Below are 19,481 nucleotides of genomic sequence, written 5' to 3' on the forward strand. Positions count from 1 at the left end.
TTTTCTCAATAACAACTGTATGGTCTATAAGTCTTCATGTAAATTTTGATAAATTTTAACTTCATAATGTATTTGTATATATTTTATTGTACTAAGTGATAAAATAGACTAGTAACTACATATAGTCTATGCATTCATGACATACCTTTTTTTTTAACTTTAAAATATTCCTAGGCTACATGGTTTCTCTCAGTTTTTTCAAATCTTTGTAAATCTCCGAGTTTTTTTCAATAAATATATTGAAAAAATTTGCATATACATGGACTCATGCAGTTGAAACCTGTATTGTTCAAGGGTCAACTATTGTCATGTTTTAATACTACACATTGTTATCAAAAGTAATATAAAGCAAATGACCCAATAGTGACTATCCTTCCTCATCCTCCCCTCATTTCTCTTCTTTTCTCATGAGGTCTTAGGTGAAAATATGACAGTGAGGTTTTGACAGCCTTGAGAGATGTGGATAAATAGCTTGCTTTGTTTAAAATGAACAGATATCTCTTCTTTCATTTTCTAATAAATGTTTGGTATTGCTGACATATCAATGTGATTGGGTCATATGAGTAGTTGGGGATTTTTTTAAATAAATGTATTTCCTTCTGACCTAATTCAAGGAGCTTTTAGAAATCAATCCTAATATGCACAAGGCTCTGGACTAGCAGTTGTATAAATAATTTCTCTAATCCCCACAATAATTCTATGAGGTAGGTACATTTATCCACATTTTACAAATGTGGAAATTGAAGCTTATAATTAACTTCTAAGGAATGAAATAGGGATTTAAATCCAGTTTTTTAATTCCAAATCTAATGGTCTTAATTATGTTATATTACATTATAACATTATATTAAATTATCAATATTGTTATATTACAGTACACTTTTTTTTTTTTTTTGAGACAGAGTCTCACTCTGTTGCCCAGGCTGGACTACAGTGGCACGATCGCAGCTCACTGCAACCTCCATCTCCTGGGTTCAAGCGATTCTTGTGCCTCAGCCTCCCAAGTAGTTGGGATTACAGGCATGTGCCATCACACCCAGCAAATTTTTGTATTTTTAGAGGAGACGGGGTTTTGCCATGTTGGCCAGGATGGTCTTGAACCTAATGCCTCAAGCGATCCACCTGCCTCGCCCTCCCAAAGTGCTGGGATCACAGGAGTGAGCCACCATGCCTGGCCTATAGTTCACACGATTGTATTATTTACATCCTGGTATATTATTTGTGAGCAGGGGAAAATAGGGTTAAAGGTAGACTTTAGCAGCTGGATAAGTTTTTATTCACCCATGTAAATTAGACTTGCAGAGGCAAGTCTAAACTACCCCCATAAATTAACTAAACTTGGGCATTCCCTCTAACATATTTGATTCTTATGCATCTACACTTCTCAACTGAATTTCAGTATAAACTATATTTAGTTGGGCTTGAAAGAAACATAATACTTTACTGTGACTTTCAGGAAAGGATATGTGCACACAGTGTACCAACCTTCTAAATTAAATTTACAAAATAAACTAATCATTTCTAGTTGTCTCTGTTGTGCATAAAGCACAAGGAACGCTGGTGCTATTGTTCTCTGAGGGCTTTTTATGCACTGTGACAGGGTGAAGTATTGCTGTAGGAAAGAGACTGGAACAGAGGAGTCTGGTCCTACAAGTCACCTCGTGTCTCACCTCGTTAATATCAGTGGAGTCTAAGAAGGTCCGACACCTGTATGTGATTCAGGGAATTAAGATCAAAGAGATTCTTCCATGGTCTGACTTTGGTTTGCACTCCCAAGCGTACCTTGCTCTTGCAAATCTATTTTTCATTTTCTCCGTCTGTAAAAAGAGGCTCGCTGCTTTAACTAGAGGCAACAAAACATGGAAGTAGAATCGATGAGTCATAAATTAGTGATTCAAAGATTCGTTATGTGTAAGCTAGAGAGGATACCTATTTAGGGCATGGCATTATTAAAAGTGGTCATTGGTTGTGTTCATTGATTTAGTTGTCACCACAATTCATGTTATGGAAAATAAACATATCCATTAAGAGAGTTACTCTGGTAAGCTCTGCAAATCCACCTCATCTAACACAGAGATGACAATTCTATCTTTAAGACAGAGAACTTAAGTAAAATTACCACTCTTCTTTACAGGTAGTATATGGCTGCCTGCCAATGGTTCTAACTCACTGAGTAACATCTGAGAGAAACCAGGAAGAACTAAAATGCATGAGTGATACATGAAAGAAATCAAATGACAAAGGGGGAGTTCTAGGAGAGGAAAGCCATTAGCAGAAATATTATTAAGCATGTAGAAAGACCTTCGCTTATAAAACATTTTATAATCTTTTTTAAATAAATTTGATTTGGCAGGCTTTCATTAGCAATGTCAATTTTGTGATATTGTTCTCTCAGACATTTAGGCTGAATATTTTTGCTTTAATATATTGGAGGGTCTTGCTGACATCAACTTGCCTTTAAGACAGAGGCATCAAAGTACTCTGAAAGGTCACACTAACAAAATTACATGTGACCTCTCAGCTGAGAGCTCTAACTGATATATATTTTTAAAATTTTCCCTTTCTTCCCTGGAGGTTTTCATGACAGCATTCTCCCCTTTTAGAGTTTGACGAAATAAAGCTTATATCTTTACCATTTTTACCAATTAATACCATTAATACCTTAATAAAGATGATAAGTCAGTCACAGATTGAGACAGGGATTTAGCTTTAAATTAGTTCCAGTTGTGGAGTTACTTCCCCGTTGTCAGCAGGAAATTTCCACACCTAATTGTATTCACATGTTTGGATCATAGGGACAATGAAATACAAGATTCTTTCTTTTAACAAATTTAAGGCTATTTTAAACACTATACAATAGTTAAATATAAGTATTATGGAATACGTAACATTTGTATATTTTGTTTTTTCAATGAGTCAGAAATAGCAATGTCCAGAAACTTTATAGATTAAGATTTTGAATTATATATAGAGCAAAATTCCTTGGTTTTACTCCATATTTTGTGGACATTCTGTAGTTCAACTTGCATGTTCAATTTTAAGTAGTCTAGGTTGGGGTAAACTAGACCCTATTGGCTAAATCCTGCTTCCCACCAGTTTACATATATAAAACTTCAGAAGCAGAGAGCGCCCCTTTTATTTATGTATTGGTTGTGTTTATGTACTGCTTTTGTGCTACAACAGCAGAGTGGATTACTTGTGGTGGAGACTGTACGGGCTGCAAGCCTAAAATACTTACTATTTCGATTTTTTCAAAAAATATGTTTTGACCCTTATTTTGTAAAATGCAAGCAGGAATTCTAGTCCTCATTTATTATAATAAAAATTATAAAGGTTTATGTATGTAATATATAGGAAGTCATACAACTAACATTTCTTGAATTTACATTAGATGCCAAGCAGAGTATTTATTGCCTGCACAAATAGAGATTAAAATTTGAAATTAAGAATATTCTATCAAAAATTTCTCATCTCCAAACTTTTTATTGCTATGTTTCTCAGCAACCTAGAAAGTTGCCAACAATTCAACCCACAAAGTGAAGTTTTAACTCACTAGAGAAAGATTCAATTCCATTTTATTCCATTTCAATTACATATGGGAAGCTGGCCTTTGCATTTGCACATAAGCCAACCTAAGGTATTTAAAGTGAGACATATGTATTACTCTTCTCAGAATTCATTTATCAACCAAGTTACAGCAATCAAAGAGGATTAAGAGAGGAAAATTCTTTTACTGTATGCAATGTTATGCAATGTACCAAATCAAGGGAAAGGATAGCAATATTATAATTCTATGGCTCTAAAAATATGTAGATCCCAAATCGTTTAAATTTTTTTTTCATGGACATAACACTATATATTTCATAAGTAGGATGTGAGAGTGCCTCTGAACTGCTAAAAAAAAATTTAGAGAGTGCAGAGTTCAAAAAACTAAGAAATAACTGTTGAAGTGGGATGATTATGATTCCCCCTCTTCAATGTGTTTTTCCTGGTTTGGCACAAGCACAAAGGTTAAGCGATTACCTGCATTTTAGGCTTTGGTTTTTTTAGTTTTGGTTTTTTATTTCTAAAGTAATCATTTTCAAGCAGAAAACTGGACCACTGATGGGAACTATTTTAAAATAAACAACTTCCAAGAGCAACATAAGAACATAATTCATTGGAAAGTTGTTACTGTAACAAATGTGCTCATTTCCCAACTTGCACATTCAACCATTTTAAATGCTGTATAGATTAATTCATAGCCGAGGGAAAGGAAAGGTTTTCTAGACTTTAAACTATTTATTAAGCACTATGGCACAAAGTGTTATAAGTAAATTTATCTTAAGTTCAACCGAATGGGCCCAACACAGTACATTTTTAAATTGGCAAAAATGTTATATCCACTGTATAACTACAGCATGGATTACATTACAGATACATTTATTTTAACCAACTCCTGTAAAATTTTGCTGACCTTTCACTTGCTTTAGTTACATTTGTTATTACATAAAAAGGTGAACCTAGATTATAAAAATATAAAGGCATGAATTTATTTCATGTTTTATCAGATTTTTCTTCTGAGCCAATTTTCTTTTAGGCTTGGTCTCAGAGTACTAGTAAGGATAGTCTCATGCACTCAATCAGAATTGAGGTGGGAGTATATAGGAAGGGTTCATTTCTCCCTACGTAATGTCATATATGGAAATTCAGTGGGAAAAGTGTGCTTAAATATGTATGAGAATAGCAAAGTTTTCTATGTAACCACCACACCCCCCATCCCTACCACCACAACCAAAAACGTATTGTTTCTAAAGGTATTTGTCCTACAACCTAGCCTTCTTTTTTCTTTTCTGTTCTTTTTTTCTTTTCTTTTGTGTACAGCTCTTACTATCCCCTGCCATTTTTTATAATTTACTAATTTGTTATATTTACTGATTATTGTCTGTCTCTCCTGCTGCACTATAAACCATATGAGGGCAGGGACTTTATCTATTTTGTTCCTGCTATATCTGATGTTTCTGGAACATGCCTGACACATAGTAGAAATTGAGTACATGTTTGTAGAAGAAAAGCAGGAAAGAAGAAAGTAATGGCTACCCTTTTGAAAAATCATTGATTATCATGATATGTAAGATATAGCAACATAATGAAGCAAATCAACAAAATTAGTAAGAACCCGGAGGTAACTCTTTGCTTTCTTCTCTTCCATGAGGATTATATTTTCCCTAACAATAAGACTTGATTGAGAACATGTTGGTGGGAACTGAAATCCAGTCCACACTCCACTTGTCAAATCCTGAGCCCTGATATCATTTGTCTTTGTCCAGAGAGTAAGTCTTTTCCTAATTAACATAGAAGCCCAATGTAGAGCAGCTGTAGCCTTTGCATTTACTCATCATTTGCTATAATCATCATTTTTGGACTGATGTTCTGTCAATTCAAGAAATAATTTTTCTTATTCAAGCATTTGACACTGATGATTTGCCGTAAATTGAGCATTTTTTTTCTATTACAGCAATTTGCAGATTATTATTTTTTGAGATGGAGTCTCGCTCTTGTCACCTAGGCTGAAGTGCAATGGTGTGAACTCGGCTCACTACAATCTCTGCCTCCTGGGTTCAAGCGATTCTCCTGCCTCAGCCTCCTGAGTAGCTGAGATTACAGGTGCCTGCCACCATGCCCGGCTAATATTTGTATTTTCAGTAGAGACGGGGTTTTGCCATGTTGTATTTTCAGTAGAGATGGGGTTTCGCCATGTTGGCCAGGCTGGTCTCGAACTCCTGACTGAGGTGATCTGCCCACCTCAGCCTCCCAAAGTGCTGGGATCACAGGTGTGAGCCACCGTACCCAGCCAATTATTTTTTTACTTAAAGTCTTATTTCAGTCTTTAGGAGAAAAACATTTTAGTTACCCCTCACTGTAAAATTCTGCCATATTAAATGACTCAATGAATGAGGACTTCCCCTGCATACTGGATACAATAAATTCTTTTTCTGAAATAGCGATGAATTTTGCTGTAGACTGAATAATTGGCTTCAATTCTTTACCTCTCCCAGTGACCACATTTTCACTATGGTTTTTCATGGGCAGAAGTTTTTTTCTGCCCTTTGAGTTGGGGCTTAGAATATGGCTTGCTTTAGTCAACAGCACATTGTCGAAAGTGATGTTGTATTTTTAAAAGATGGAATGAATGATTGAGATCATACGATCATCTCAATACATGCTGAAAAAGCACTTAACAAAATTCAACATTCTTTTATGATAAAAACTCTGCCCAAATTAGGTATAGAAAGAGAGTACTTCAATGTAATAAAGGCCTTCTAGGACAAACCTATCGCTAACATCATATTTCACTATGAAAAGCTAAAAGCTTTTCATATAAAATCACGAACAAGATAAGAGTACCCTCCCCTCAAGTCAATATAGCGCTTGAAGTCCTAGCTAGAATAATTAGGCAAGAAGGCATAATAAAAGGCATACAATTCAAAAAGGAAGTAAAATTATCTCTATTTGCAGATGACATGATCCTATTTGCAGAAAACTTAAAAGACTTCACCAAGAAACTGTTAGAATTAATGAATACATTCAATAAAGTTGCAGGATATAAAATCAACATACAAAAATCGGATGCATTTTTATACACTAAACAATGAACTATCTAAAAAAATTTTTAATCCCATTTACAATGGCATCATAAACAATAAAATACTTAGGAATAAATTTAGTCAAGGAGGTGAAAGATCTGTACACTGAAAAGCATAAACCAATGATGAAAAAAATGGAATAAATCACAAATAAATGGAAAGATATCCATTCGAAGAATTCTTGAGAGAATCACTTGAACCTGAGAAGTTGAGACTGCAGAAAGCCAAGATCACGCCACTCAACTCTAGCCTGGGTGATGATGAGACAGTCCGGTGGGAGAGGGTCTCTGGAAAACCTCCAACTAGCCTGCCCCCTAGAGTGGAGATTCGGGAAGTTCCTGACATTTGCAGCGGGGAAGAGCCTGGCCCCTCCTCTTCCTGTGTGGAAACTGGGATTTGAACGGCGGGCAGGAAGTACTCGAGTAGGGAGTCTGGCCTAGTGAAAGTCTCTGTTTCCTCCTTTTCTTACTTTTCACTCAATAAAACCCTGCTTTACACACCCTTCAAACCATCTGTGAGCCTGAATTTTTACGGCCATGGGACAGACAAGGATCCTGTCTTTATCTAAACTAAGGAAAAGTCCTGCAACATTTGTGGTGCACAACGTGGGGCTCGAGAAGTGGTAAGTGAAATGGGGACTCAAAACCTCTCACTGTTGCTCCTAAGCATTTTTATCCTTGGAGTTCAGAGGGTGGGGGTAACATGCCCCCCAAACCCTATTGCTCCCGGGGGGCCTGGGGAAAGGCCCTTTCTTTCCTTTTTCAGAATGAGCAGGCAAGTGGGGGCTCCTCGCTCCCCCTCCCCTCCTCTCCCTGCCAGGGCTGGGACACATGGCCCAGGGGTCCCACACAGCTAGTTGGCTGGCTGGTTCCCAGCCACAAGCTGCTGCAGCCTTCCCCTTCCCCAGCCAAAGGGTTTTACTCCATGGGACAGTAATGAAGCTTAAACTTTTCTCCCCGGTGAAGGAACCACTTGCATAAGAATAAGAGGTTTTCACAGGCTTTTTTTTTTTTTTTTTTTTTTTTTTTTGAGACGGAGTCTGGCTCTGTCGCGCAGGTGGAGTGCAGTGGCGCGATCTCGGCTCACTGCAAGCTCCGCCTCCCGGGTTCACGCCATTCTCCTGCCTCAGCCTCCCGAGTAGCTGGGACTACAGGCGCCCGCCACCACGCCCGTCTAATTTTTTGTATTTTTAGTAGAGATGGGGTTTCACCGTGTAAGCCAAGATGGTCTCGATCTTCTGACCTTGTGATCCACCCGCTCGGCCTCCCAAAGTGCTGGGATTACAGGCCTAAGCCACTGCGCCAGGCCAAACAGGCATTTTTAACTGTTTCTTTTCTTTGCTTTTCTCCACCCTGCGGGCAGTTAGCTTTTAAAGTTTTTTTTTTTCTTTTAGAAGACTTTTTACTAGGCCACCCCCCCCCTCACCACACCCCCAAATATCGCTGTGGGTATTCTCTGCAAAGTTTTGGCTGAAATCAAGCTTCCATCTTTTTTTTTTTTAATCCTGAGGGCATGGCTTGTAACTCCTGTGGCATGGCTTCCTTTAGCAACCCTGCCCGGAGGGGTAAGTTTTTTTCTGGTTTGATGGGTGCGTGTTTTCCTAGCCCTGTCTCTTAACGGGCCCCACCCAGCGACTGGGTTTTCTTCTGCCTATGTGTGTACTGTGTGTGATGTCTGTGAAAATAGTCCTAATTAATTTGCCTAAAGAAAGACAGGTGGGCGGATCACGAGGCCAGGAGTTCTAGACTAGCCTGGCCAACATGGTGAAACCCCGTCACTACTAAAAAAAAATTAGCCGGGTGTGGTGGCGGGCACCTGTAATCCCAGCTGCTCGGGAGGCTGAGGCACGAGAATCGCTTGAACCTGGGAGGTGAAGGTTGCAGTGAGCCGAGATCATGCCACTGCACACTGCACTCCAACCTGGGCAACAGTGTGAGACTCCGTCTCAAAAAAAAAAAAAAGACAGACGAGCACTTAGACCAAGTATTTTTTTAAGGGAAATTAAAAGCTGTGGTACCTTTCAGTTCATGTGACTTTAATCTTTGAGAAATAAAAGCAGCCTTAAAGATTATTGGTAAAATGCAGCTGTCATTATAATGTAAATATGGGAATTAAACTATGCAGGTCAGATGCAAAGTTTGTTAAGTGTTTTGAAGTTACAAACTGCTTTTTGGGTTTTGAGAACTGTTTGACTTGGTGGCTTCACAATTGGTAAGGCCTGGGGACATAGGAAACTAACCATGCCCTTAATTAAGAAGGCAAACCTTGACTACACTTAGCACACAGTGAAAGCAACTTACCGAGTTTTATCTTAAAGTTAAAAATTGCTAGTTCATTGAAACTACTAGAAATAGATTTACCTGCAAGGTGTGTAAGAACAGTAAAATGTGTTTTTTTGCAAGTGGTTATAAGAAGGCATGGAAATGTAAACTTTTACCTAGGGTTAAAGGATCGTTTTACTTAAATTAGGCAAAAGCTGAAGGTTCAAAGAAGGGGTGGAAGAACTGTAGAAATTAATCTTGTGGAAGAGGTTCTCTATGTGAACATATTGACTAAATTCAAAAAAGGGTATTATATGGTTTTTCTGTAAATCGAGCATTGAAATAAAAGCATAATAAGGTTTTCCTAAGGTGCTAATCTGCTCCTTGGCAGAATTTCTAAAGGGGTGTAAAAGGTTTTTGCCTTTTTAAAATTTCTGAGTCTTTATTTTGGCAAGATAAATAACTTATGGTAATCTGGAATTCTATTTCATAATATCAATTGTTTTAAACCTCGAACATTAGACAGCCTTCCCAAGTCAAACTTCAGTTTCAAAATTGTCTTCCTGGGCACATGGCTTTTCAAGTACTTCAGAGGTGTCCAGTGTTTCAAGTACCCTGAAGTGTCCAGAAAAGAGAGGTAAAGAGGATTATTTGACATGTTTAGGTACGTGGGACTGCCAAAATGATGCGCAATCTTCTTTAGGCTATATCTTGGTGAATAATGCTAATGTCTGAATATATGCTATCAATCATAATTAAGGTTTTTACATTAAGCTATTGTAAACCAGAGAGATAACCAAACTTGTCAATTGTGTTTCTAACTGTAACTACCCTGGAGATTTTGGTATTCATAGACAATTGTTTTCTTATTTTAAAACATTTTCAAAAGATGGTTTATAATAAGCTGTAGGACTCTGACAGTTCCTCTTAAATACAATTTCTGATTATATTTGAGACAATCAGCCTTCTAATAACTTTAGATATTTTAACATTGGATTAAAGAAAAATGTATAGGACCCATGAAGAGCTGAAATGTTTATATCAAGCAAAACATGTTAACTAAATGGACTGAACTCAGGAAGCTGAAGCAATCCTTTTAACTTTTGCTTGGAATGTTGCTGGTCCTTGTTTTGTTTTTCAGAGTCAATGTAACTTAAACTGTTTATGGCCTTTAATATTTAAGCAAGGTATACTCCTGGGATCAAAATTTGGAGAATGTTTGTTTCCCTCTGCCTGATTGCTCTAGAATTTGGAAACTGTGAGTGTTCTTAACTTACGGCATTATGGTTGTTTGCATCAGTGCAATAAGAATCCATTTTTCTTTTGCAACAGGACACTATTGGAGAAAGTGGTTATTTTACCAAGGCTTTGACTGGAAGGGTATTCCTTTTAAGGAGTCAGTCTTGACTTGCAGAGCCAATAAAAGCCCACTGGGGGAACTGGTCTCATACCCTTGCCAATGCAGTCCCTGTGCAGGGCTCCTGACCTGTGGTCAGTAAAGAATGTCACTTGCTAACAGGTCCAGGAGCTTCAAGTTTATCTTGAGACCTTAAAAGGAGAATACTCACAGGTATTCGAGGATAAACCCATGGCTGGATTTGGCCTTAAAAGGTCTTATCTGAGATTCCTTGTGGAATAAACTTCCATCGAATTACATAGGCCAATCCAAAGGTCTTATGTAAAAATAATTATTCTTACTGCACTTTATGCAAATAATCAGGCCAAGTATAAAACTAAAGTCTATTTTGCAAACAACTGAGTCCTATGATGATTTGTTTTCTTGACAAAAATGAGAGCTAGAGAGAGAGAAATTATGTTTCAAAACTTATACATTTGTTAGTAATTTCTAAATTATTAGCTGTTTTTAAGCGTTTGCCTATATTTTAGACTAATCCTGCTTGTTCCTATGAACCAGCCAGCAATCTCTGGCTGCAACTCAGAAAGAACAAAAGTGATGAGTAATGTAAAAATCTGTATGAATATTCCAGTTCCGAGCAATTGTCCTGCAAATCCTGCCATGTGATGGGAATAAATAGGATGCTCCTCATCCAGAGGTTTCCTTTTTGGGAAAGTAAGACCAAGGGAGCTAACCAAAGCCAAGCACCATGCACCCAAATCCCAGCAAGCATAACTGTAGCCACCAGTTATCTGGGCATATCACAAGACATCCTTTCCTCTCCCTTGTTGGAAGAGGACTCAGTTCCACGGTTTCACCTTAGCATTCGGCTTATGATAAGGAGTTCATGCAATGCCCCCTGATACACATTTTTGTCCCAGATTCAATTCCAAGCTCCAAGTCAAAAGCACTAGGAGAGAAAACTGGATCTGTAGGATCCAGAGGCAGATGTTAATGGCAGTTAAAAGGCACAGTGCAGGTGATTCCTGCTGACTAAGCCAAGCCCAAGCGTCCTGTTCCACATTAGTATTGATGTCATAAATGAGGTCTAGGGAACTCCAAGGCTACTGACAGTAGGTGAGAAAGAGACATAGATTAGAATGGATAATTCCTATTCTCTAGGCCACCTTGCTTCTTGGGTGCAAGCCACTTTGGTATTCATGGCAGCACCTGCCAAGGTTGCCAGAGCTCAGGGATGCAAGGATGGAAGACAGAAAGAGGATGCTCTTCTCTCTTTCCTCACTTACCAGGAGTATTTGCTAGAAAGAGAAGGGAGCCAGCGATGCCTGCTCCCCTTTTTCTAGATGGGTAGCCATTTATCTTCAGTCTGTACCCCTTTCAAATGCATCCTGAACCCTTGGGACTCCTTGAAAAGGCACCTTCTTTTTCCTCTCTCCTCCTCTGTTCTCTCTTCACTGATAGGTAATTGTGTCTCTGTACCACGGGACACACCCCTCAGATGCATCCTCCAAACTGGAAAGAGTTAATTTCCCAAACCTTAAACTGATTAGCTTAGGATTGGGCTCAGGGAAAGGGAACCCAGAAGCCCAACATGCTGGCAAAAGGGTAAAGTTGTTTTTTTTTTTTTTTTTTTTTTTTTTTCCAGTCAGGCTTTTGGACTTCCTCTCCCTGTGCTAACTGGTAAAAGGCCTTGGAAATTCTTAGCTGTCTGCACCCCTCCCCTTGTTTCATTTTGATGTTTATTTTCTAATAACCTGGTTTGTCGGTTCTTGCCTTCAGGCCATCAAACTTCAGTCATGCAACTGGACCCTCTGACAATGGCCCCTTCTGCTGGGAACCCTTAGGTAGGCCTCTGAGGGAGCTCCGACTGCCATTTCTGCAAAAGAGCAACACCATCGGCAGGAAACAGTTAATATCGGTTTTTGTTCTCATCCTTAATCTAATGGCAGTTAGATGTACCTCTTTAGCGGGGGGAATGCTACAACCAGGTGGGAGGGTGTCCCCAGAAAACCAGCCTGCCCACTGGGGTGGAGCCTCAGGAAGTTCACAACATTTGCAGCGGGTAGGAGCTTGGCCCCTCTTCTTCCTGTGTGGAACCTGGGATTTGAATGGCCAGCAGGAAGCACTATCAGGGACTCTGGCCTAGCAAGAGTCCCTGTTTCCCTTTTTTCTTCCTTTTCACCTGATAAAACCCTGCTTTACTGACCCTTCAAACCATCTGCGAGCCTAAATTTTCATGGCCAAGGGATGGACAAAAACCCTGTCTTTAGCTGACCTAAGGAACAGTCCTACAATAATGGGAGAGAAACACTGTCTCAAAAAAAATATTCTAATTCATGGATTAGAAGATTTAATATTGTCAAAATGTCTGTACTATCCAAGGCAGTCTATAGATTCAATAAAATCTGTATCAAAATTCTAATGTAATTTTTCACAGAAATAGAAAAAAAATTCTAAAATTCATATGTAACCACAAGAGACCCAGAATAGCCAAAGAAATCTTGAGCAAGAAGAATAAAGCTGAGACATCACAATACCTAATTTCAAAATATGCTACTGTGCTATAGTAATCAAAACAGTATGATATTGCCATAAAAGCAGACATATAAACTAATGGAACAGAATAGAGAGCCCAGAAATAAATCGAAGCATTTAGAGTCAATGGATCATTAACAAAGGTGCCAATAAAACACAATGGGGAAAGGATAGTCTCTTCAATAAGTCATGTTGGGAAAACTGGACATCCACAGGCAGAAGAATGAAACTGGAGCCTTATCTCACACCATGTACAAAATCAACTAAAAATGGATTAAAGTCTTAAAGGTAAGACTTGAAACTAAAACTAATAGAGAAATGCATAAGGGACATTGGTTTTGGCATTGGTCTGGGCAATAATTTTTTTTTGGATATGACACTAAAAGCACAAGAAACAAAATAAAAAATAGACAAGTGAGATTGCCTTAAACGAAAAGCTTCTGCTTAGAAACAAAAAAGAAACACACACACACACCAAAAAACCCAGTCAACAGAGTGAACAGGCAACCTACAGAATGAGAGGGAATATTAGCCAATATACTTTATAAGGGGTTAAAATCCAAAGTATACAAAGAACTCAAAAGCAAAAAAGCAAGTAACTCACTTAGGAAATACGTAAAGAACCTGAGTAGACATTTCTCCAAAGAAAACACAAAAATTGCCAATGGACATCTAAAAAGGTGCCCAGTATCACTAATCATCAGGGAAATGCAAATTAAAACCACAATGATATGTTACCTCACATCTGTTGAGATTGCTATTATGAAAAAGACAAAAGATGAGTGTTTTTGAGTGTGTCAAAAAAGAAGGAACTTTTGTGTACTGTTGGTGGGAGGGTAAATTGGTACAGCCATTAGGGAAAACAGTGTAGAGTTTCCTCAAAAAATTAAAAATATAACTACCATATAAACAGCAATCTCACTAATGGGTACATATGAGAAAATGAATTCAGTATTTCAAAAATGCTGTCGATACTTGTGTGTTCCTTGCAGTGTTATACACAATAGCAAAGATATGGAATCAATCAAAGTGTCCGTTGATGGATAAATGGATAAAGAAATTGTGGTATACAGTGGAAATTATTCAGCTATAAAAAAGAAGGAAATCCTGTTATTTGTGAGAGGACATGTTAAGTGAGATAAGCCGGGCACAGAAAGTCAGATAATACATGATCTCACTTGTATGTGGAATCTAAAAAAGTCAAATTAATCAAGACAGAGAGTAAAATGGTAGTTTTCAGGGGTTGAGGAGTGTGAGAAATGGAGAGATGTTGGCCAAAGAGTACAAAGTTTCAGTTATACAGGATGAATAAGTTCTGGATATTTAACGTATACCATGGTGACTTAGTCAATAATGCACAACTGAGTACTTGAAATATTCTGAGAGTAGATCTTAAATGTTCTCACCACACCAAACAAAAAACATATTAACTATATGAGGTGATGGACATGTTAATTAGCTTGAGATTGGTAACCGTTTCACAATGTATATATATATACAAATATAATGCCCTGTACCTTAAACATATGTAATTTTTATTTGTCAATTATATCTCAATAAAACTGGAAAAAATACTTCATGCATTTTCACTTTTGCACCTCACCATTGCCATTAAGAAAAAAAATGGCTTGATAAGCTAGCCGATAAAAGGATAGAAGATGTAGAAGAGAATCATTCCAGCTGACCCAGTGAGCTGCAGTGTGAAGTGGATGAGCCCCAGCATCTACAGGGAGAAGCAGAGCCACCAGTGCCCTCAACAGCGAGCCTGCCCTCTGTTAACTAAAACAGCCAACCTGCCAATTCATAAGAACAGTCCATTTGTTTCCATTCCCTGAGGTTCGTGTTTGTTTGTTTTGCAGTATTTTGTGACAATAGCTAAGCGCAACAAAAGCTAACTCTATTTTGTGAATGCCCCTGAGCAACAATTATACACAATTCACAAGATGTATAACCGTACGATACCCCAAACCAAGGCAGGCAATTTTAATGTGCTTTCCAATATCTTCGCTTTAATTGTATCTAGGTTTGTCTGCATCCTTTTTCTTAATGTGACTTGTATGTATGCATTTATGTTCTAACTCATGACATGTTAGCAAAGATAACACCTTTTACATGAATACAAACATAAATGAATTGGAATAAGGATAATTCATCTTAAGTCTTTTTTTCTGTTCTTTTTCTTTTCCTGGGCTTCTGAAATAATTCTTATCTTTTCATTAGGCTTATAACAATCATTGTAGCAATTATATCTGTTTTGTGCTTCATCCCTTATGTAAATTAATTGTCATCTCAGTGTATTGCTGTAAAAATAGGGATTCCTAGGGAAGATAACTTTCATAGAATTAATTATTCAGAGGCCAATTATCCAGTTCTAGGCTATTCACATTGTTTTTATTTTCTCACTTCTCCATATATTTGAATATTTCTCAGTCCATTAACGATCCATTTTGCTTCTCATTAACATCTCTGGTAAAAGGTATGGTGAAAGAACTAATTGATACTTTTAGAAATGATGAAACTTTTGAATTAACTAAACTCAGGATACACTCACTATCTTACCCCCTACCTTACTAAGACAAACAGTTGAGTTTATTTCATGTTATAGGTAAACTTAGACTGAGAAAAGCTTTAATTATTATTTTTTTGCTTCATGAACATATAAAGAGGGCATCAACTATGTCATCTTTTTCTAAGACTACAAACTGAAATTATAGCACTATTAGCCTCTAATAAATACTTCTCATTTTCTGTGGCCCTCAGGTTGAAGGATATAGTTTGCAGTCATATTTATTATATTTTCTTATTTATTTCACTCTCCCTTACCCCAGTCCTGGGTGCCGCCATTCTGTTTTCTGTTTTTGTAAGTTTAGCATTTTTAGATTCTGCATATAAGTGAGATCATGAATTATCTTTCTGTGTCTGACTTATCTCACCTAAAGTATTCTGGGTTCATACATGTTGTCATAAATGAGCACAATTTCCTTCCTAAATAGAATTCCATTGCATGTATACCCCTCATCCATGATTTTGCTTTCTATGGTTTCATGGTTTCACTTACCTGCAACCAACCATAGTCCAAACATATTAAATGGAGAATTCCAGAAATAAACAATTTGAGTTTTAATCTGCATGTTGTTTCTGAGCAGTGTGATGAAATCTCACGTTTTCCCGCTTAGTCGCTGTTCAGTACTATCCAAGAGTTCAGGCATTCACTGGGGGTCTTGAAACATGTCTCTCTTGGCTAAGAGGGACTACCATATACCACGTTTTCTCTATCCATTCATCTGTTGATGAAAGCTTAGATTGATTTCATATCGTGGCTATTCTGAATAATGCTACAATGAATAAGAGAGTGCAGGTACCTTTTCCAGTTACTGATTTCATTTCCTTCGGATATATGCCCAGAAATGGGATGGTTGGATCATATAGTAGTTCTATTTTTACTTTTTTGAGGAACCTCCATAATGTTTTCCATAATGGCTGTACTAATTTACATTCCCTGTGGTGATAATTATTAACTATATTGTATTGCAGTTCTGTGATGCTCGGGGCTCTGCAAACTATATTTCTCCTTTGCCAGCCATTTCCCTGTTAGTTTCTGCCAATAGAGGCCACTAGAGGAGGATAAAAGGTAGTTGGAGTGAGAAGGCACTTGCTTCTTCCAGGTGTCTACTGCTCCTGCCAGCCTGGTCTCAGCAGTCACTCTTAATCCTGAAGTAGCTATTGGTTCCGGTTTCTTGTATTCTTCCACATTCTGACAACCAGCCTCATAACATTTCTTTGGAGAAACTAGTAACACTCTGGTAGCACACTCTCCTCTAGTTTAGCAAGGTACCTCTTTTGAGCTTTTGAGATACCCGCAGAGTAATCAGAGGCTCTTGTTCCTAAGAGATCTGAATCACAGCTTCTCAAGGCCTCTCTTCTAGTGTTCTGATAAATTCAACTTCTTACCTTGTTCCTTACATGCTAAGATTACTATCATTGTGTCAGTCCAATGTTCCCTTTTTGATTGTTGAGTCTTCTGATGGTTTTTTTTTTTTTTTTTTTTGAGACAGAGTCTCACTCTGTCGTCCATGCTGGCGTGCAATGACACAATCTCGGCTCCTTGCAAACTCCGTCTCCCTGGTTCAAGCAATTCTTGTGCCTCAGCCTCCCAAGTAGCTGGGGCTACAGGCATGCACCACCACACTCAGCTCATTTTTTGTAGTTCTTCTAGAGACGGGATTTCACCATGTTGGTCAGGCTGGTCTTGAACTTCTGACCTCAGGTGATCCGCCCGCCTCAGCCTCCTCCTCCGAAGTGCTGGGATTACAGGCATGAGCCACGGCGCCCAGCTCCAATAACTTTTTAAACATTTCTTGCTTTAGACCCTCTCTGTTGAACTAACTAGCATGGTTTCCATTTGCTGGCTATAGCCTGATGATATGGTGCTGAATTTAGATGTCCTGTCAATCACCTTAAAGACAAAGACTTTTGTCTTTGTAGCCCCTTCTATCCTTAGCTCATGGCTTGCTGTAGAAATGCTTGCTCTATGTATAGTCATGGAAGATTTCCCTGGTCCCATGCTCTGCCTACTAGGCATCTATTTTACATTGTTTGTACCTAATATATTTTGGGTGTATATTGACTTAGCTATGTTAAGTGGTTCATTTGCACTGTTCCCCTCATCAGACACAGATCTAATTGTCATGCTTTCTGAATTCTTTTAATTGTCTCTTTCCCACATGTTGTCATTATTTGGCTCATTTCTATCCTCAGGGAATGATGTAGCGTCCTCATCCTCATCAGCCACTTGATGAGACTGAACAGTGTCAATGTCAGCCTCATTCTCACTTGAGTTTTTATTATCTGCCTCTGAGTTGGCAAAATTTTCCTCCCACTAGTGTTGATGTGTGGCTTTTACATTAAGCCTATTAGTTTTAAGTAAGGGGTGGCCTTGGTCAGTTCTGGTCTGGTTCCCTAGTGCCTCCTTTCCTCACAGTATGCCACCAGTCATCATTAACTTATAATACTACACTGTGTAATAAAGCCTGCAATTAGTGCTGAGAAAATGGCTCAGAAGCAATATGTGTGCCTTGATTTGGCATTCTCTGTATTGCTTTACAAAACCTGATTTCTCTTCCTGGGTCAAGCCAACCCTGAGGCTAATTGGCTCTTCTGTTCTATCATTCCTTTATACTTCTATTGTTGTTATGCCTACAGTATTGTCATTGAAGCAGCGTCCCCCCAGCCCCCAACACACGCACTATACTGAAGTTTGGTACTGGCCACAATGTTCAGAGATGAAGTGGTTTGCTTTTTCTGGTTTCTTCCCCCAAACTAGCTACATGAATAATAATATTTTGTACATCTCAAGAAATTTTCCCCCAAAGCATCAGCTTCACAATATTATCTACATCAAATGTTTATGCACTTTTGCCATTTACTTTTCACGTATAAAGCACATGGTAGCAGCCTCAGAAGAGAAATATTTGTTGTTGCATGCTCTTTTTAAATGCTTACCCACCATCTCTTTGGAAAAATTAGGAAAGCAAATAACCAAAGTGAATTGCAATCTAACTGAATGCAACGCTCAGGAAATTTTCAAAGAGGATTTCTAAATATGTTGGCTCTTCCACAGTCTCTTTCTGTCTCTCTCTCTCTCTCTCTCTCTCTCTCTTCTTTTATTAGCCACACTTAGTAGAGTTCAATTTTCATACCAGCTGTCATATATAATTGAATGTTAACCAAATGGAGATAGCATTAAAAAGGGGGAGAGAAGAAGAGGAAGGAAAAGTCTTATTTTAGTAACAGAAAATACAAATTCAGAATTTCGAACTTTTTTTTTTTTTAGTTTGTTTCACCTATGGAAGATTTTCTTCCTTCCCTTTCTCCAAAGTTGATTAGGCTGGGAATCAGACATCAATTTATAAGATTCTAGATACTGTTTTGGAGAAAAGTCCTTAAGGGATGTGAGTAAGGGAAGAAGACGGGTAGAAAGTGAAATTGTGACAGAAGTTTTACCCCAAAGAAAATTGTAATGAAGAAGACTGGTTTAAAAACAACAAACAAACAGACAAACACACAAAAAAACTATGTGCCATGACTTTTTTTTCAAACTATTGAGAAGATATGCTATCACCATTTTCCCTGGCATATCTGTTTTGCTTCTTGCTCAGAGCAAGAATCTAAAGATGTGCAGCATCAAAGTAATATTGATGGCTAATATATAGTATTTTCTATGAGCATCAAGAGTGGCAGTGTTTCTGACAGACAACTGGGTCAGATAGCCAGGACATGAATTCGAGGGGATCCACAAAGGACAGTTCTGCATTTTCCATATCTAGAGGCTGTATCTGGGTCAAAAGAATGCACTTTGCCTTTGCTTCATACAGCTTGAGCCAGCTGGACTCTATCCAGGAAGATAATGCTGACAAATCCTGGGAAAGCAAGAAGCAGCAGCAGCTTCTCTCTCATCGTGCAGCATATGATATCACTGTTTCTCCTGAGTCTCTTTGTCCCTTTGACATGTAGTAATAATTAAAGCATACAGATCTGCATTTATTAGAGGCCAAATAGCAGGCTTGAATATTGAGTCAGAAGTTTCTGTACCTATAAGTCACATAGCAAAGTGCATAAAGCAACTCCATCTATGAAGGAATGAAGTCATCTCTTCATCCTTAACAGAGAGTGAAGAAAGACTTATGGAACATGTCATATAAA

At 38.1% G+C, this 19,481-nt stretch overlaps 1 long non-coding RNA gene across 1 annotated transcript in view, besides 1 other annotated feature; it reads left to right on the plus strand.

The window, feature by feature from the left end:
- Positions 6,825–7,119: an enhancer, noted in NCBI's record as "tiled region #4090; HepG2 Activating DNase unmatched - State 1:Tss, and K562 Activating DNase matched - State 4:PromP". NCBI's record gives its function as "activates a minimal TATA promoter and a strong SV40 promoter by Sharpr-MPRA in HepG2 and K562 cells {active_cell/tissue: HepG2 | K562}" and the evidence as "EXISTENCE:reporter gene assay evidence [ECO:0000049][PMID:27701403]".
- LINC02008 (long intergenic non-protein coding RNA 2008) overlaps positions 7,009–19,481 on the plus strand; it is a 477,534-nt gene continuing 465,061 nt past the window's right edge. Inside the window, exon 1 of the long non-coding RNA NR_147146.1 lies at positions 7,009–7,248. This is a non-coding gene — a long non-coding RNA (long intergenic non-protein coding RNA 2008). The remainder of the gene's footprint in view (positions 7,249–19,481) is intronic.

The sequence above is a fragment of the Homo sapiens genome, chromosome 3, assembly GCF_000001405.40.
Source record: "Homo sapiens chromosome 3, GRCh38.p14 Primary Assembly".
Classification (NCBI taxonomy): Eukaryota; Metazoa; Chordata; class Mammalia; order Primates; family Hominidae; genus Homo; species Homo sapiens.